At 44.9% G+C, this 17,283-nt stretch overlaps 1 long non-coding RNA gene across 3 annotated transcripts; it reads left to right on the top strand.

The window, feature by feature from the left end:
* Positions 1–1,504: 1,504 nt before the first annotated feature.
* Positions 1,505–14,817, top strand: LOC101929643 (uncharacterized). Of its 3 annotated transcripts, XR_001739277.1 has the most exons (4): positions 1,505–2,133; positions 4,788–5,149; positions 11,738–11,810; positions 12,585–12,615. It is a non-coding gene; the product is annotated as an uncharacterized LOC101929643 (long non-coding RNA). The 3 variants fall into 3 exon arrangements; XR_241266.4 differs by having other exon boundaries at positions 9,081–14,817; XR_922777.3 differs by having other exon boundaries at positions 11,738–14,817.
* The last annotated feature ends 2,466 nt before the right edge of the window (positions 14,818–17,283 follow it).

Here is a 17,283-nt window from a genome sequence, read left to right on the forward strand (position 1 = left end):
GAAGAGGCAAGGAAAAGACTCTTCCCCTGGGCCTTCAGAGGGAGCATGGCCCTGCAGACACCCTGATTTTGGACTTCTGGCCTCTAGAACGGAGAGAATAAATTTCTCTTGGTTTTTATTTTATTTATTTTTATTTTTTATTTTTTGGTTTGTTTGTTTTGTTTTTTTGAGACAGGTTCTCTCGCTCTGTCACCCAGGCTGGAGTGCAGTGGCGCCATCTCGGCTCACTGCAGCCTCGATTTCCTGGGCTCCAGCAATACCCCCACCTCAGCCTCCTGAGTAGCAGGGACTACAGGCACATGCCAGCCACCACGCCTGGGTAGTTTTTTTAGTTTTGGTAGAGACAAGGTTTCCCATGTTGCCCAGGCTAGTCTCAAGCTCCTGAGCTTAAGCAATCTACCCCACTGCGGCCTCCCAAAGTGCTAGGATTACAGGTGGAGCCACCGCACCTGGCCATTTATCTTATTTTAAGCTATCCAGTTTGTGACAACTTATCACAGCAGCGCTAAGAAAATATTACAATGCTTATGGAACACAGCCTAAGGTTACCTCCCCTTCTGCCCTTCTGCCTTTTCTCCTGAAATTCCTCTTGCCTGGAATATCCTTGCTCTATGTATCCAGCTATGAAAAACCTAAGCATCCTTCACTGGCATCTGAACGTTCTACTCACTGGCATCTGAACATTCTGATTTGTAGATTGCAGGTCTGCACCATTTTTTAGTAGTCTTAGTCTTTTAAAGATCCCATTTATTTTGTCACAGTTCTGGAGGCCAGAGTCCAAAATCAAGCTGTCAATTATGCAAATATTTGGTCCTTCAAAGCCATTCTTACATAGGGTGATGGAGTCAGGTAACCAGCAGAGAGCAGGGAGACTGTAAAATTACATCTTTTTCTATTCCTGGCTACTTCTGAGTTCTGATAGTAAATCTCTTGTGATTTAATCATTATTCTTTTTTGTTTTTGAGACAGGGTCTAGCTCTGTCACCCAGGCTGGAGTGCAGTGGTGTGAACATGGCTCACTGCAGCCTCGACCTCCCGAGCTCAGTGATCCTCCCACCTCAGCCTCCTGAGTAGCTGTAACCACAGGCACGTGCTACCAGGCCCAGCTAATTTTTTTTTTTTTGAGATGGAGTCTCGCCCTGTTGCCCAGGCTGGAGTGCAGTGGCGTGATCTCAGCTCACTGCAGCCTCTGCCTCCCAGGTTCACCCCATTCTCCTGCCTCAGCCTCCTGAGTAGCTGGGATTACAGGCGCACCACCACATCCAGCTAATTTTTGTGTGTGTATATATATATATATTTTTTTTTAGTAGAGATGGGGTTTCACCATGTTGGCCAAGTTGGTCTCAAACTCCCGACCTCAGGTGATCCACCCACCTCAGCCTCCCAAAGTGCTGGGATTACAGGCGTGAGCCACTGCACCCAGCCAATTTTTTAATTTTTTTATAGAGATAGGGTCTTGCCTTGTTGCCCAGGTTGTTCTCAAACTCCTGGGCTCAAGCAATCCTCCCGCCTTGGCCTCCTAAAGTGCTGGGATCACAGGCATGAGCCACTGTGCCTGGCCTGATTTAATTCTTCTTCTTCACCTGATCCAGTTTTCTCCATGAAGACTTGAGACCAAGTCACAGTAGGTTTGGACCCAAATGTATGCTGCTCCTCTCTCCCCATGTTCTTTGCTTCTGTTCTTAGCCTGGGGTAAAGTCCTCCTTGTCCTGGGCCAGACATACTGTCAAGAGAAAGCTTGGTATTGGACTGACTCCATTTAAAGAACCTTATTTTATGAATCTGTCCCAGGAAAATATAGTAACTCGTTAACAGTTTTGAATGATTTGTTCTTTGCTTTTTGGCAAATTTCAGTTTATCCTTGCTAGAGGGAAAACAATAAAATCCACAAGTAATTCCCAATTTTCAACCTAGCCCAGCAATTTAACCTCCTCACTCACTTTGCCAAGGCTACTAATAAGTAGCTGTGTGCCTGGCCTGCTTTCCTTCTCTCCTCTCCCTGGTCCTGCCCATTGGCAGGGAGCCTCTTGTGAGTCATAAGATGACCAAGAGATCACACGGCGAGAGACTGAAAGAAAAGCAGCAAAGCCCTGGGTAATCAAGGCCCTAAACGGAAAGTGTCAGGATCTTGGGGTAAGTGGCTTTTATATCTTTGAAACTGCTCAGTAATTTTCCAGAGAGATGTTGGTTGGAACCCAGTGGAGTTGTGCCCCGCCCATAGTTAATGCTCAATAAGTTTATTAAGTCAAGAAACAAATTTAGGCTTGGCGAGTCCTGCCTGATGACAGGTAAACCCATCCTTATACAAGAATGGATCATTTACCCACCTCGCTTAGGAAAAAGAGGAGGTTATCAGGTTGTTAAGAAACGGGGCCAGGTCCAGGGCCAGGGCCGGGCACGGTGGCTCACACCTATAATCCCAGTACTCTGGGAGGCCAAGGTGGGTGTATCACTTGAGGTCAGAAGTTCAAGACCAACCTGGCTAACAAGGTGAAACTGTCTGTACTAAAAATACAAAAATTGGCTGGGCACAGTGGCTCACGCCTGTAATCTCAACACTTTGGGAGGCCGAGGCAGGCAGATCACCTGAGGTTGGGAGTTCGAGACCAGCCTAACATGGAGAAACCCTGTCTCTACTAAAAATACAAAATGAGCAGGGCGTGATGCCACATGCCTATAATCTCAGCTACTCAGGAGGCTGAGGCAGGAGAATCACATGAACCCGGGAAGCAGAGGTTGCAGTGAGCTGAGATGGCGCCATTGTACTCCAGCCTGGGCAACAAGAGCAAAACCCCTTCTCAAAAAAAAAAAAAAAAATTAACTGGATGTGGTGTCATGTGCCTGTAACCCCAGCTGCTCGGGAGGCTGAGGCAGGAGAATCGCTTGAACCCGGGAGGCAAAAGTTGCAGTGAACCAAGATTGCACCACTGCACTCCAGCCTGGACAACAGACAGACCAAGACTCCGTCTCAAAAAAAAAAAGAAAGAAAAAAAAAGAATCTGGGCTGGACACAGTGGCTCATGACTATAATCCCAGTACTTTGAGAGGCCGAGGCAGGAGGGTCACTTAACCCCAGGAGTTCAAGACCAGACATAGTGAGACCCTGTCTCTACAAAAAATAAAAAAATTTTTGTAGATTTTTTATCTACAAAAATCTGGGCGTGGTGGTGGATGCCTGTGGTCACAGCTACTCAGGAGGCTGAGGCAGGAGGATCACTTGAGCCTGAGAGGTCGAGGCTGCAGTGAGCTGAGATCGTGCCACTGCACTCCATCCTGGGTGACAGAATGCAACCCTATCTCAAAAAAAAAAAAAAAAAAAAGAACCTGCTAACCTGCTACTCTAGACCCCCTGCCTTGAGGACGGTGGCATTCACATTGCAGCTATTGTGAAAAATGTCCCCAGAGTTTACAGGCTACAAGCTAACAGTGGCACTCCGACTGGGAGCCCAGAGGGCAGGCTCTAGGATCCTGATCAATGAGATCTGCTTATGAAAACATCTTAAAACCTGGACTACAGAAAAAAGCACTCTTGCTTCCATACTGTTCAGATTATGTATGCAAAACGAGTAAGAACTGCCCAGCCAGTGTGCCTCTCTGCTTAATATAGAGCTTAGAAGTCCTCTAATTCTGTTTTGTTTTGTTTTCTGAGACAGGGTCTCACTTTGTTGCCCAGGCTGGAATGCAGTGGTATGAACATGGTTTACTGCAGCCTCGACCTCCTGCGCTCAAGCGATCCTCCCACCTCAGCCCACAGAGTAGCAGGGACTACAGGCACATGCCACCATGAGGTTTTGCCATGTTGCGCAGACTGGTCTTGAACTCCTGGGCTCAAGCAGTCCTCTGGCCTCAGCCTCCCAAAGTGCTGGGATTACAGGTGTGAGTCAGAAGTTCCCTAATTCTGATATGTGTGGTCACTACGCAGTTCTGTGCTTTGCTTCCAAAGGACTGATCACCTTGAAGAACCAGAATATAAAGAGGTTACGTTGGGGGAACATTACCATTTATTTATTGGCTTACTCTGAAAGACAAGTAAGTTAGTGCAGAATCACAACGTTGGCTCATTATTGGTATCATGGGCAGCCTGCAATGTTTGCTCATCATATCTATCTAGTTATATATTGATTATTTACATTCTGCTTTGTTCAATAAATAATTTGAAAGCATACATCCATTAAAAACTTCAGGGCCGGGCGCGGTAGCTCACACCTGTAATCCCAGCACTTTGGGAGGCCGAGGTGGGCAGATCACGAGGTCAGGAGATCAAGACCATCCTGGCTAACACAGTGAAACCCTGTCTCTACTAAAAATACAAAAAAATTAGCCAGGCGTGGTAGCAGGCACTTGCAGTCCCAGTTACTCGGGGAGGCTGAGGCAGGAGAATGGCGTGAACCCAGGAGGCGGAGCTTGCAGTGAGCTGAGATCGCACCACTGCACCCCAGCCTGGGCAACAGAGCGAAACTGTGTCTCAAAAAATAAAAATAAAAAATAAAAACTTCAGTTAGGCTGGGCACAGTGGCTCACACCTGTAATCCCAGCACTTAGGGAGGCTGAGGCAGAAGGATTGCTTGAGCCCAGGAGTTCAAGATTAGCCTGGGCAACATAGCAAGAACCCATCTCAAAAAAAATTATAATAAAAATAAAAACTTCAGTTAATAACATAGATGCGAATTTGAAATATACAGAGGAATGTGGTTGCCATCTAGTCCGATGATGTTTTCAAGCTCTTGTGTTTTGGGGTTTTTTTCTTTTAGCTATAGTACCCTATCTGCAAAATAAATCTTTTGCAGGATCGTATTGTATAAAATGGATGAAAACAGAGCTATTGGGTTTGAAGCACTCCTGAACCCTCTCATGGAACCCTATGTCTTCCTGGAGTCTACAGAGCTATTGGGTTTGAAGCACTCCTGAACCGTCTAGTAGAACCCTATGTCTTCCTGGAGTCTACAGAGCTATTGGGTTTGAAGCACTCCTGAACCGTCTAGTAGAACCCTATGTCTTCCTGGAGTTTACAGAAAAAGAGACTCAGGGATTTTCCCAAAGCACACTGCAAGTTAGGGGCAGGAATGACAGCCCAGACCTTCTGGTTTCCAGTCCAGGGCTCAACTGCCTAAACAGTGGCATCTCTTCAGGCAGGCCCTGTCAGAGGCAGGTTAGTATTTTTATTTTACTTCTTTTTTTGGTAGAGACAGGGTCTTGCCATGTTGACCAGGCTGGTCTCAAACTCCTGGCCTCAAGTGATCCTCTCACCTTGGCCTCCCAAATTGCTGAGATTACAGATATGAGCCACTATGCCCAGCCCAGGCTAGTTTTTTTTTGTTTTTTTTTTTAAAAGAAACTGTCTTGCTCTGTCACCCAAACTGGAGTGCAATAGTATGATCACAGCTCACTGTAGCCTGGAACTCCCCGGCTTAAGTGATCCCCCCACCACCTGAGTAGCTGGGACTACAGGCGCATGCCACTAGGCCTGGCTGTTTTCTATATTTTGTAGATACAGGGGTCTTACTATGTTGCCTAGGCTGGTCTTGAACCCCTGAGATCAAGCGATCCTCCTGTCTTGGCATTCCAAAGTGCTGGGATTACAGGTGTAAGCTATTGTGCCCAGGCCTCCAGGCTAGTTTTTGATTGCCACCTGACAGATGAGTTTGCAATCCAACATTTGCTGGTAACAGGATCATCCACCCAGCACAATATACTCAAAAGGAGCAGCTGGAAGGCTAGTCATTCACTAATTGCCACCTCCAGTGTCTCAATAACGAGGCATTCAAGTTGAGCATTTAAGGCAAAATTCAAAGAAATTAGACATCTATTTTGGGAGACATGAGAGGGCACAATGCTTTCCTACACAGATGAGAGCTCTTAACTCTTTGTGAGGTAGAGGGATATTTGCCTTTAAGAAAGTAGGTGGATGAGGCCAGTCATGGTGGCTTATGCCTGTAATCCCAGCATTTCGGGAGGCCAAGGTGGATGGATCGCTTGGGCTCAAGAATTTGAGACCAGCCTGGGCAACATGGCAAAACCTCATCTCTATAAAAAACACAAAAATTAGCCAGGTGTGATGGTGTGAGCCTGTAGTTCCAGCTACTCGGGAGGCTGAGGTGGGAGGATCACTTTAGCTCAGCAGGTGGAGGTTGCAGTGAGCTGTGAACCACTGCACTCCAACCTGGGTGACAGAGCTGTACCCTGCCTCAAAACAAACAAAAAACCCTGGCCCGGCACGGTGGCTCACGCCTGTAATCCCAGCACTTTGGGAGGCCAAAGTGGGCAGATCACTTGAGGTCAGGAGTTTGAGACCAGCCTGGACAACATCATGAAACCCCATCTCTACTAAAAATACAAAAAATAAGCCGGGCATGGTGGCAGGTGCCTGTAATCCCAGGTACTCGGGAGGCTGAGGCATGAGAATCGCTTGAACCTGGGAGGCAAAGGTTGCAGTGAGCCGAGATCATGCCACTGCACTCCAGCCTGGGTGACAGAGTGAGACTCAGTCTCAAAAAAAAAAAAAAAATACCCAAAAACAAAGAAAACAAAACAAAACAAAAAACCCCAGAAAGTAGGGGGGTGGCGCAGCTTAATTTGGGTATATAAGCTCTCTTCATCTGATTTTAACCTATAAAGGACTCAGAAGAAAATCATTAGTACCCATTATTACATTAGAAGTAATATCTCCCCCCAAGCAATCAGGAAGTTTCTTCGCTTAGGATGGAATATGTTAGCAATAGGCTTTCCTTCACTTTAGGGAAGCTGCTCATTCTGCTATCTGGACAGCAGGAAGGAATTCTTGGCTGAAAATTCAGAAGTCAAGGGCAAGCCAAATCTTCCAAACCCTTTATCACTTAAGGCCTTCTAGTCATGCACAAAAGGAACCAATTCACGCTAAGCAGAAAAAGAGCTTACTGGAAGGCTATCTAGCAGTTCACATAATTGATGAGAAAGCTGAAACACCAGACTCAGAAAACAGGAGTCATGGGAAATGGGTAGTGGAGACTCAGCCAAAGCCATGCCCAGTGGTCTGGAAGGACATCACCACCAGCACTGCTACCGTGAAATACAGCCTTCTAGACACCACTGGACTGTCCATATCACCAAGAGTATATCCTCAAACATTCCTGCCTTTTTTATCCCTTCCCTCAGGATTCTGAGTCCTGGGTGGGAGCATCCAGTCAGCTGAACTTAGTTCACAAGCCTGCATTCCAATGGCCAGGTGATGGGACTCTGGCTCTGTCTCCTGCTAAGACTCATACAACAGCACGGGGGAACAAAGTTTTCAGATGTTCAGTAGGCAAATATCAGCAGTGTCCACTAGAGTTCCTTCTAACTTTAAGTCCTACAGCCAATTGATCTGAAAACAGGAAAAGGATGAGAAATAACTTGAATAGCACTACAGGGACCAAGCTGTAAAGAATCAGATCCTATCTCTGGTGAAGCCCTCCAATCATCTCCTAAAGATCTTTAATTTTGCAAAACCATCACTAGTAAGGGAGACTAATATCAAAGTGAACTTCATGAGAATCCATTTCTCAGGCATTTCTTTTTGAGGCAGGGAAATGTACCAATCTAGCTTTTTTTTTTTTTTTTGAGATGGAGTCTCACTCTGTTGCCCAGGCTGGAGTGCAGTGGCACGATCTCAGCTCACTGTAACCTCCGCATCCTGGGTTCCAACAATTCTCCTGCCTCAGCCTCCTGAGTAGCTGGGATTACAGGCACACGCCTAATTTTTGTATTTTTAGTAGAGACGGGGTTTCACCATGTTGGTCAGGCTCATCTCGAACTCCTGACCTCGTGATCCACCCACCTCGGTCTCCCAATTTATTTTAAGATGGAGTCTTGCTCTGTTGCCCAGGCTAGAGTGCAGTGGCACGATCTCGGCTCATTGTAACCTCCGTCTCCCGGATTTGAATCTTGACTCTTCATAGTTGAGTAACTTTGGACAAGTCCCCTAATCTGTAAAATAGGCATAATGCTTCAAAGGATTGTTATAGGACTATATGAGATCATTTACGCATTTTGCATGCAACAAATATTTGATGATGACAGCCATCAGGCTAGGTGAACAGAACAGAAGGACCCTGTGCCTAGCACATAATAGGAGCTCAGTAGATACCTCCTAAATGTACCTGGTTGTTTCATGCCTTTATAGTATTTTAATTTTTTTTCTTTTTTTCTTTTTGAGATGGATTCTTGCTCTGTCGCCCAGGCTGGAGTGCAGTGGTGTGATCTCGGCTCACTGCAACCTCCACCTTCCGGATTCAAGTGATTCTCCTGCCTCAGCCTCCCGAGTAGCTGGGATTACAGGTGTGCACCACCACGCCCAGCTATATAAATATATTTATATACATATTTGTTTCACCATGTTGGTCAGGCTGGTCTCAAACTCCTGACCTCAGGTGATCCACTAAGCTTGGCCTCCCAAAGTGCTGGGATTACAGGCGTGAACCACTGTGCCAGGCTGCATATTTCTTTAGCAATGTATGCTGAATTATGTAGTAATGAGAGAACATAATGTGTTATTTGCTTTGAAATGTTTCAGCAAAGAAAAATAAATTACCGCATAATAAAGAATTAAAGACCGGTTGCCATGGCTCACACCTGTAATCCCAACACTTTGGGAGGACGAGGCAGGCAGATCATGAGGTCAGGAGTTCGAGACCAGCCTGACCAACATGGTGAAACCCCATCTCTACCAAAAATACAAAAATTAGCTGGGCGTGGTGGCACACACCTGTAATCCCAGCTACTCGGGAGGCTGAGGCAGGAGAATCACTTGAACCCGGGAGGCAGAGGTTGCAGTGAGCCAAGATCACACCACTGCACTCCAGCCTGGGCAACAGAGCGAGACTCCATCTGAAAAAGAAAAAAAGAAAAAAGAATAAAAAGAACTAAAATACTATAAAGGCATGAAACAACCTGGTACATTTAGGAGGTATCTACTGAGTTCCTATTACGTGCTAGGCACAGGGTCCTTCTGTTCTGTTCACCTAGCCTGATGGCTGTCATCATCAAATATCTGTTGCATGCAAAATGCGTAAATGATCTCATATAGTCTTATAACGATCCTTTGAAACATTATGCCTGTTTTACAGATTAGGGGACTTGTCCAAAGTTACTCAACTATGAAGAGTCAAGATTCAAATCCAGAGACATCTGACTTCATTTCCCTTCATTAACAACCATCTAAGGAAGTTCCTATTACTTTGGGAACTCCTAGTAGCAGGTGGTTAAAAAAAACTCCTGGACAACATACTATGCTATTTGAATCATCCTACTTCTTACGCGTTCCTCCAGGATGCACTCTTCTCCCATTCTGAAACTGACAGTTCTCTTTACAAACTGTGTATGTTTCATTCCTGGATTGCATCTGAGCTGCCGCCATGGAACGGGCATTGAGTTTTAGCGTGTGTGATGTCCCATGTGTTCATTTTGTCTCCCCACACTATAAACTTGAGAGGCAAGGCCAACTCTTTTATGTCTTCAAATGCTTTGCTGCCAAACACAGGATTGGAAATGGCCAACAAAGACTAAAATGCTACTTCTCTACCCTTTTCACTATGCCATCTACTGGAAATTTAAGCAAGACTTGCAGAGATCACTTCAGGTTATCTGTTCCCCTGCAAGAAACACTTGTGGTTTGGCCTGAAATAGTTTTCTGCTGATTCTTTCTCTACAGCCCTGAACCCTAAAAACAAATGAAATGCATCAACACAATACTAAATGCCTACATATTATTACTATTATGTCTTTAAAAAAAGAGTGAAAGCTTTTTCATGTTTGCTTTAAATCAACCATGTAGAAACTGGAGGGACCAGTGAAGAGGAATAGAGGGAATGAACTCAAATGCTCTAACTTGCAATAGGACAGTTGGGTTCTTACTTTGACTCACCTGACCTTTACAACCATTAGCCAGCTCACATGATGCCCAAACAAGTTGCTGAGCCTCCTGCCCATCCTCTGTATATATCCCTGGTTTCCTGTCTCAAGCTTTAGGCTAATCTCCATCAACACTGACCTCACATGAATACTAAATGCAGATGTCTGACCTCATATTTCTCTGCCAGTCAGATCCCTGGCCTCTTTACTACAGACCTTAAGGACCAGTTCTCAAACTCATCTCATTGGCATCTTTTCACATCACGAAATCTATCTGGTCAGGATTTGAATAAAACTGTATTTTTACTTTAATACAAAAGAGTCAACATGGGCAGTGACTAAATAAAGGGGGTGGGGACAGAGTTAACACGAGCCACCTATGCTGTTACATATATATATATCCCGATTAATTTCAGTTGGTGAAGAGGAAGACCCTCGGGCACAGATTTCAACACTGTGCTGGACTCAGACCCAAAATCCTTTGACTTATTTTTATTTTTTGGGATGAGGTCTCGCTATGTTGCCCAGGCTGGAGTACAGTGGCTATTCATAGGCACTATCATAGTGCAGGGTAGCCTTGAACTCCTGGCCTCATGATCCTCCCACCTCAGCCTCCCTAGTGGCTGGTAGCTGGGACTACAGACACAACCAGCCCTCTGACTTATTTTTACTACTCTGCTGTGAAACTCACCCGATCTTTACTTTGGCCTTCATTATTGAGGCTTCCTTAAAGCAGTGGTTCTCAAAGTACCAGGTCCTGATCAGCAGCATCAGCATCAATTTGTTAAAAATACAAATGCTCTATGGGGCCCTACCTCAGACTTACTGAATCAAAACTCCTTAGTCAAGACTTAACTGCTGGTAAGTGACTGAGTTTTTGGTCAAAGGCATTTCCTTTTAGCACTTGTTCTCTGGGTCCTGATTTTTCTTTACTTATTTCAACAGAATGACCTTTCCCATTGTATTCCATCAGAGAGTGCTAATTAGAAGCAAAACCACAGCTTAATTGTCTTTTTTTTTTTTTAACTTCGCATTCCCAAGTTACACCGTCATTTTCTTTTTGTGACTATGCCCTTGAAAATCTAGGGCAATAGGTCTGCTCAGTGTTGTTGATTTTCTTATCCACAAGACTGGTTTCACTTTATTAGAACTTTCTAGTTCCAAAATTAGGCTATCCTGCTAACTTCCTTCCCACTTGAGTGTTCCACTACATACATTCCACAGCCCTTTACACTTGGAAATACTTTCACACATTGGCTTGCAGGCTAGATAGATTGTCCACCTTTTATCTGTAAAAGGTAAAACAGAAACTCAGTGAGATTAAAGCCATAGCTATAAAGTAGTGAAGTTTAAAGTTCTGGTACCTACTTCAGTCCCTGACTCATAACAAGCGCTCAATATATTTAACAAGTATGTGAATGACCATGGAAGCCAGATCTTTGACTTCTAGGCTGGTTTTCTTTCTCTTTTTTTTTTGAGATGGAGTCTCGCTCTGTTACCCAGGCTGGAGTGCAGTGGCACGATCTCGGCTCACTGCAACCTCCGCCTCCCAGGTTCAGGCAATTCTCCTGCCTCAGCCTCCCAAGCAGCTGGGATTACAGGTGCACGCCACCATGCCCAGCTAACTTTTGTATTTCTAGTAGAAACGGGGTTTCACCATGTTGGCCAGGCTGGTCTCGAAATCCTGACCTCAAGTGATCCGCCTGCCTTGGCCTCCCAAAGTGCTGGGATTACAGGCATGAGCCACTGCACCCAGTTTCTGGCTGGTCCTTTCTATCTCTAGATCACACAATCTCTCATGTTACATAGTTGTGGGAATAGACAAGTCTAGCTCCAAAAAGCGTTAATAATCTTGTCCCATTTATTTTCCTAGCTCCCAAGTTGTGATGTTGCCACCAGTATTAGAACACAGTGGTCTCCAAAATCTTGCCAATGAATCCTCCAAGGTGCGTACCAAGTTCCGGAATAACTGAAAGAACATCACATACACAGGCTGGGTACAGTAGCTCACATCTGTAATCCCAGCACTTTGGGAGGCCGAGGTGGGAAGACTGCTTAAGGCCAGGAGTTCAAGACCACCCTGGGCAACATAGTGAGACCTTGTCTCTACCCTCCTCCCCAACCCCCCCCAAAAAAGCACCACCTGTCAAGGAGAATGGCATGGCGACATGGCTGAAACACAGAGCCTTATCTAAAGACCCACAGGGCTAGAATGGAGAAAGAACTCTCAGAACAAATTTCAGATAGGTAAAAAACCTGGTAATGTCAGTAGAAAATGAGAAACAAATAGTCTGGCTTCCTTCAAGGACTAAAGGACCTGAGTTACTCCCATACAATGGTGGAGAGTAGAGCCCACAAGATTACTGAATAGCAGAGATCTTTGCAATGAATGCCAGCTTCCAGTACACACTTCCACAGGAAAGTGAAGGTTAATCTAGCTTAATTCAGTGCTTTAACTCCTCTATACCTCTGACAGGAGAAAGAAAACCAGGCTACACTGGAAGTTAAATCTCAGTTGGACTTAAACTTTTTCTAGTTTTCTTTTTTTTTGGAGACGGAGTTTCACTCTTGTTGCCAGGGCTGGAGTGCAATGGCACAATCTCGGCTCACTGCAACCTCCGCCCCCCGGGTTCAAGCAATTCTCCTGTCTCAGCCTCCCAAGTAGCTGTGATTACAGGCACCTGCCACCACACTGGCTAATTTTTTATTTTTTTTTATAGAGACGGGGGTTTCACCATGTTCGCCAGGCTGACCTCAGGTGATCTGCCCGCCTCGGCCTCCCAAAGTGCTGGGATTATAAGCGTGAGCCACCGCACCCGGGACTTTTTCTAGTTTTCAACATTGTTATCTATACATCCTCAAGTGTAAGCTGTCACAGGAAGAAAAATGTGTCTTTTTTTTTTTTTTTTTTTTTTTTGAGACAGTCTTGCCCTGTCACCCAGGCTGGAGTGCAGTGGCGTGATCTCGGCTCACTACAACCTCCACCTCCCGGGTTCAAGCAATTCTCCTGCCTCAGCTTCCTGAGTAGCTGGGACTACAGGCACCTGCCACCATGCCTGGCTAATTTTTGTATTTTTAGTAGAGACAGGGTTTCACCATATTGGCCAGACTGGTCTTGATCTCCTGACTTTCTGATCTGCCCACTTCGGCCTCCCAAAGTGCTGGGATTACAGGTGTGAGCCACCGCGCCCGGCCAATTATTTCTTTCTTTCTTTCTTTTTCTTTTTTTTTTTTTTTTTTTGAGACGGAGTCTTGCCCTGTCACCCAGGCTGGAGTGCAGTGGTGCGATCTTGGCTCACGGCAAGCTCCACCTCCCAGGTTCACGCCACTCTCCTGCCTCAGTCTCCTGAGTAGCTGGGACGACAGATGCATGCCACTACGCCTGGCTAATTTTTGTATTTTTAGTAGAGGCGGAGTTTCACCATGTTGGCCAGCTGGTCTCGAACTCCTGACCTCAGGTATCTGCCTGCCTCGGCCTCCCAAACTGTTGGGATTACAGACATGAGCCACCGTGCCTGGCAAAATGTGTAGTTCTTTTACATGGGCAAGTTTCTACTATTAAAAAAAAAATAACCATGACAGGGCATCCTAAGTAGCCTAGTTAGCAGTGGCAGCTACTGCCCTCAGTAGCACGTCATAAGCAAGAGCAAAGTAAACATCCAAATAAAATGAATTAAGCCAGCTTGCCACAGCCTAGCATTGCAAGTCTACAGTATGCAATTTCACATGTCAAATCAGCAAGAAAATTCCTAAAGTCTTTAGCTAAAATTACAGTAATTAAACAACTCTTTTGATAAGCACTTGAGTAAGAACCCCAGATATTCCTGAAGAAACTGTGTTACAGCTCAAAAGAATTTAGGAGCCTAGTGTAGTAAGGCCCGTTGTATTGCCTGACTTTTACTCAGGGCTCAACCCAGTTTCAAGCCTACTTAATAATTCGTATCCCAAGAAAGCCCTTATTAGCCTCTTTGCTAGCTGAATAAATTCTAACTCCACCATGGCTTCTGTGGAGGCCCAGGCTATGATATGTTGCAGAAATAGTGTCTGAGGACAAAGAACAGATAAGAAAGTTAAACTCTGCATAACCCATTCAGTAATGTGTAATGAAAATATCACTCTCAAAAGTGGAAGTCTCCCCTTTCTTCTGAAGGGCATTAAGGGATACTCATGGCTCAGCAAATTCTGAAGTAGAAATTGTCACAGTGCTGTAGGTGGAAGAGACTCAACAATGCCATCATGAAAAAAACTTCTGGAATTATTCACAACAGTAAAATTATGACCAACTTACAGTCCTAGGAGATGGATTGCAGAAATCTTTAAGACCATCCATAAGAAATGGCTTTCAAACTTATTTGAAATCAATTTGACATCACAACCCACTTTTCATACATGTATAAACTGAAATTGGTTTCACAAAGTATTATTTCCCTTATAACATGCTACATATTTTCCCTTCTATTAAAAAAGTTGGCTGTCACCCATGAAGTTTGTTACCAGTTGGTCATGACTAGAGGTTAAAAAGCACTGATCAATTGCTGTAATCTTAAAAAAAAAAAAAAAAAGGCAACATAACACAGTTGCTAAGAGTACTAACTTTGAAGTAGGACTGCCCAGGTTCAAATCCTGACACCGCTACTTGGCTATGAAGCCCAAGTCCTAGGTCATGTCACTAACTTCGGTGCTTCAGTTTCCCCCTCCAGAAATCAAGAGAAACCTTCTAATAAAACTTTGTTATCAAACTGAGTTTTATTTGTGAGGATGCCTAAAAAACATGCCTATTAAGAAGTGAAGATGCTGGCCCCAAGATTCCGTGTAGCTTGCCAGTGAGTGGGAAGATTGGCCCGGGACCCTGGCTGATGGCCTTTCCACTATATTGCAGCATTGAGCATGCAAATAACATTGATTATATAAGGGCCTTTGGTGTAAAGCATGTAAAATAAATGTGACAAGCAATGCTGGATGATAAATGCTTATTTCCTTACTTTCAGAAAGTAACTAGAGGGCTCATGCCTTAAAAAAAAAAAAAACTTACCAGATAAATATGAACTAAAGCCTTCATTTTCTGAGTGGCAAGGAAAAAAAACAATTTTCATTAAGAATTCTTTTTAATTTAGCCAGTAGAGATTGAGATTTGGAGTTATTTGCCTCTGATTCTTGTCTAGTTTCAGGCCAAACACTAGCTAGTTGCTAGGACCTTGGCCAAGTCTGCAGTCTCTTTGGGCTCATTTCTATAATCGTAAGATGAGAGTTAGGCCCAGGATGTTGTAACACTGCCCCTTTTGAGGTTTTCCCCAAAGGGCAAAACTGACAGACTAAGGGGAAAGTCAAAGAAAAGAAAAACAAAAATCATCTCCAAAGATGCTAGAAAAAAAAAAAGAATAGCGTTATTTACTTGCCATAGTAAGGATGGTGAAGTACTCACAGCAGGCAATAGTGGCACAGAAATTAACTTGGTATGGCGTCTTGAGTTCAACCTCTAGTTGGCTACCTAATAGACACGTACATAAATGTTTTTGTTTTAGGACAGGGTCTCACTCTATCACTGGGGCTGGACTGCAGTGGTGCAATCACAGCTTATCACAGCCTTGACCTCCCGGGCTCAGGTGATCCTCCCACCTCAGTCTGGCAAGCAGCTGGGACTACAGGCGTGCATCACCATGCCTGGCTAGTATTTTTGTAGAGGCAGGGTTTTGCCATGTTGTCCACTGGTCTCAAACTCCCGGGCTCAAAAGATCCACCTGCCTTGGCGTCCCAAAGTACTGGGATTATAGGCGTGAGCCATGGCACAAGGCTCACATACATAACTTTGAGCTAATAATTTCATTTCTTTTTTTTTGAGACGGAGTCTCGCTTTGTCGCCCAGGCTGCAGTACAGTGGTGTGATCTCAGCTCACTGCAAGCTCCACCTGCCGGGTTCACGCCATTCTCCTGCCTCAGCGTCCCGAGTAGCTGAGACTACAGGAGCCTGCCACCATGCCCGGCTAATTTTTTTTGTATTTTTAGTAGAGACGGGGATTCACCGTGTTAGCCAGGATGGTCTCGATCTCCTGACCTCATGATCCGCCCGCCTCGGCCTCCCAAAGTGCTGGGATTACAGGCGTGAGCCACCACACCCAGCCATAATTTCATTTTTTTCTGATCAGATGTTCTGTCACTTAAGGGCACTTGAGATGATTAAATATGAATGTGCATAGTACATGACCAGGTATCCAAAAAGACTTCAATAAACCTTGGTTCCTTCTAACTAAAAGGGCTGTATAAACATGCTAAGGTGTTATAATTTTAGGGGCAGTTTCCAGCATTTCCTCCCGGGTATTATTACTTGCCACCTCCAAAGCATTAGCTCTGAAGGCATAACCTTTTCTTTTTTTTTCTTCTGAAAGAGACAGGGTCTCTTTGCATTGCTCAAGCTGGAGTGCAGTAGCTATTCACAGGCATGATCATCAAGCACCACAGCCCCAAACTCCTGGGCTCAAGTGATCTTCCTACCTCAGCATAGCTGGGACAACAGGGTCATGCCACTGCACCTAGCTGGCATAGAAATTTTTTTTTTTTGAGACACTGTCTCATTCTGTTGCTCAGGCTGGAGTGCAGTGGCACACTGCAGCCTCAATCTTTCGGGCTTAAGCAATCTTCCCACCTCAGCCCCCTGAATAGCGAGGACCACAGGCGTGCACCACTATGCCCCGCTAATTTTTGTATTTTTTGTAGAGATGGGTTTTGCCATGTTGCCCGGCTGGTCTCAAACTCCTAGGCTCAAGCAGTCCACCCACCTCGGTCTCCTGAAGTGCTGGGATTACAGGCACGAGCCACAGTGCTTGGCCAGCATAGCCACTTTAAAATGAAGTGTGGGTTAAGGAGTAAACTGGCAAGTTTGCCCCAAATTCGATTTCATGATGATCTTGACATCTACACAGTGGTGTCACTTAACAGGAGTATGTTCTGAAAAACGCCTCGTTAGGCGACTTCATCGTTGTGCAAATATCACAGGATGTACTTACACAAGTACATGGCAGAGCCTACTACACACCTAGGCTATGTAGTAAAGCCTATATTCCTAGGCTACAAACACGTACAGCACGTTACCGTACTAACTACTGTAGGCAATTTCAACAACACTAAATATTTGCTGAACACAAAAGATACAGTAAAAATCACTGCTGTATATGCAGTTCTTGCTACACGTAAACTGTTTAGCTAAATAACATTAATTCCAGAGAAGGCAAAGCTTACCAAATACAAATTCTACATGGGAGAGTGATAGAGATATAAGGCAGAATAAAACATGCAAAATTGCAGTCAGGCGCGGTGGCTCACACCTGTAATCTCAGCACTTTGGGGGGCCAAGGTGGGCAGATCACCTGAGGTCACAAGTTCAAGACCAGCCTGGCCAACATGGCGAAACCCCATCTCTACTAA

This window comes from Homo sapiens, chromosome 2 (assembly GCF_000001405.40).
Source record: "Homo sapiens chromosome 2, GRCh38.p14 Primary Assembly".
Taxonomy (NCBI): domain Eukaryota; kingdom Metazoa; phylum Chordata; class Mammalia; order Primates; family Hominidae; genus Homo; species Homo sapiens.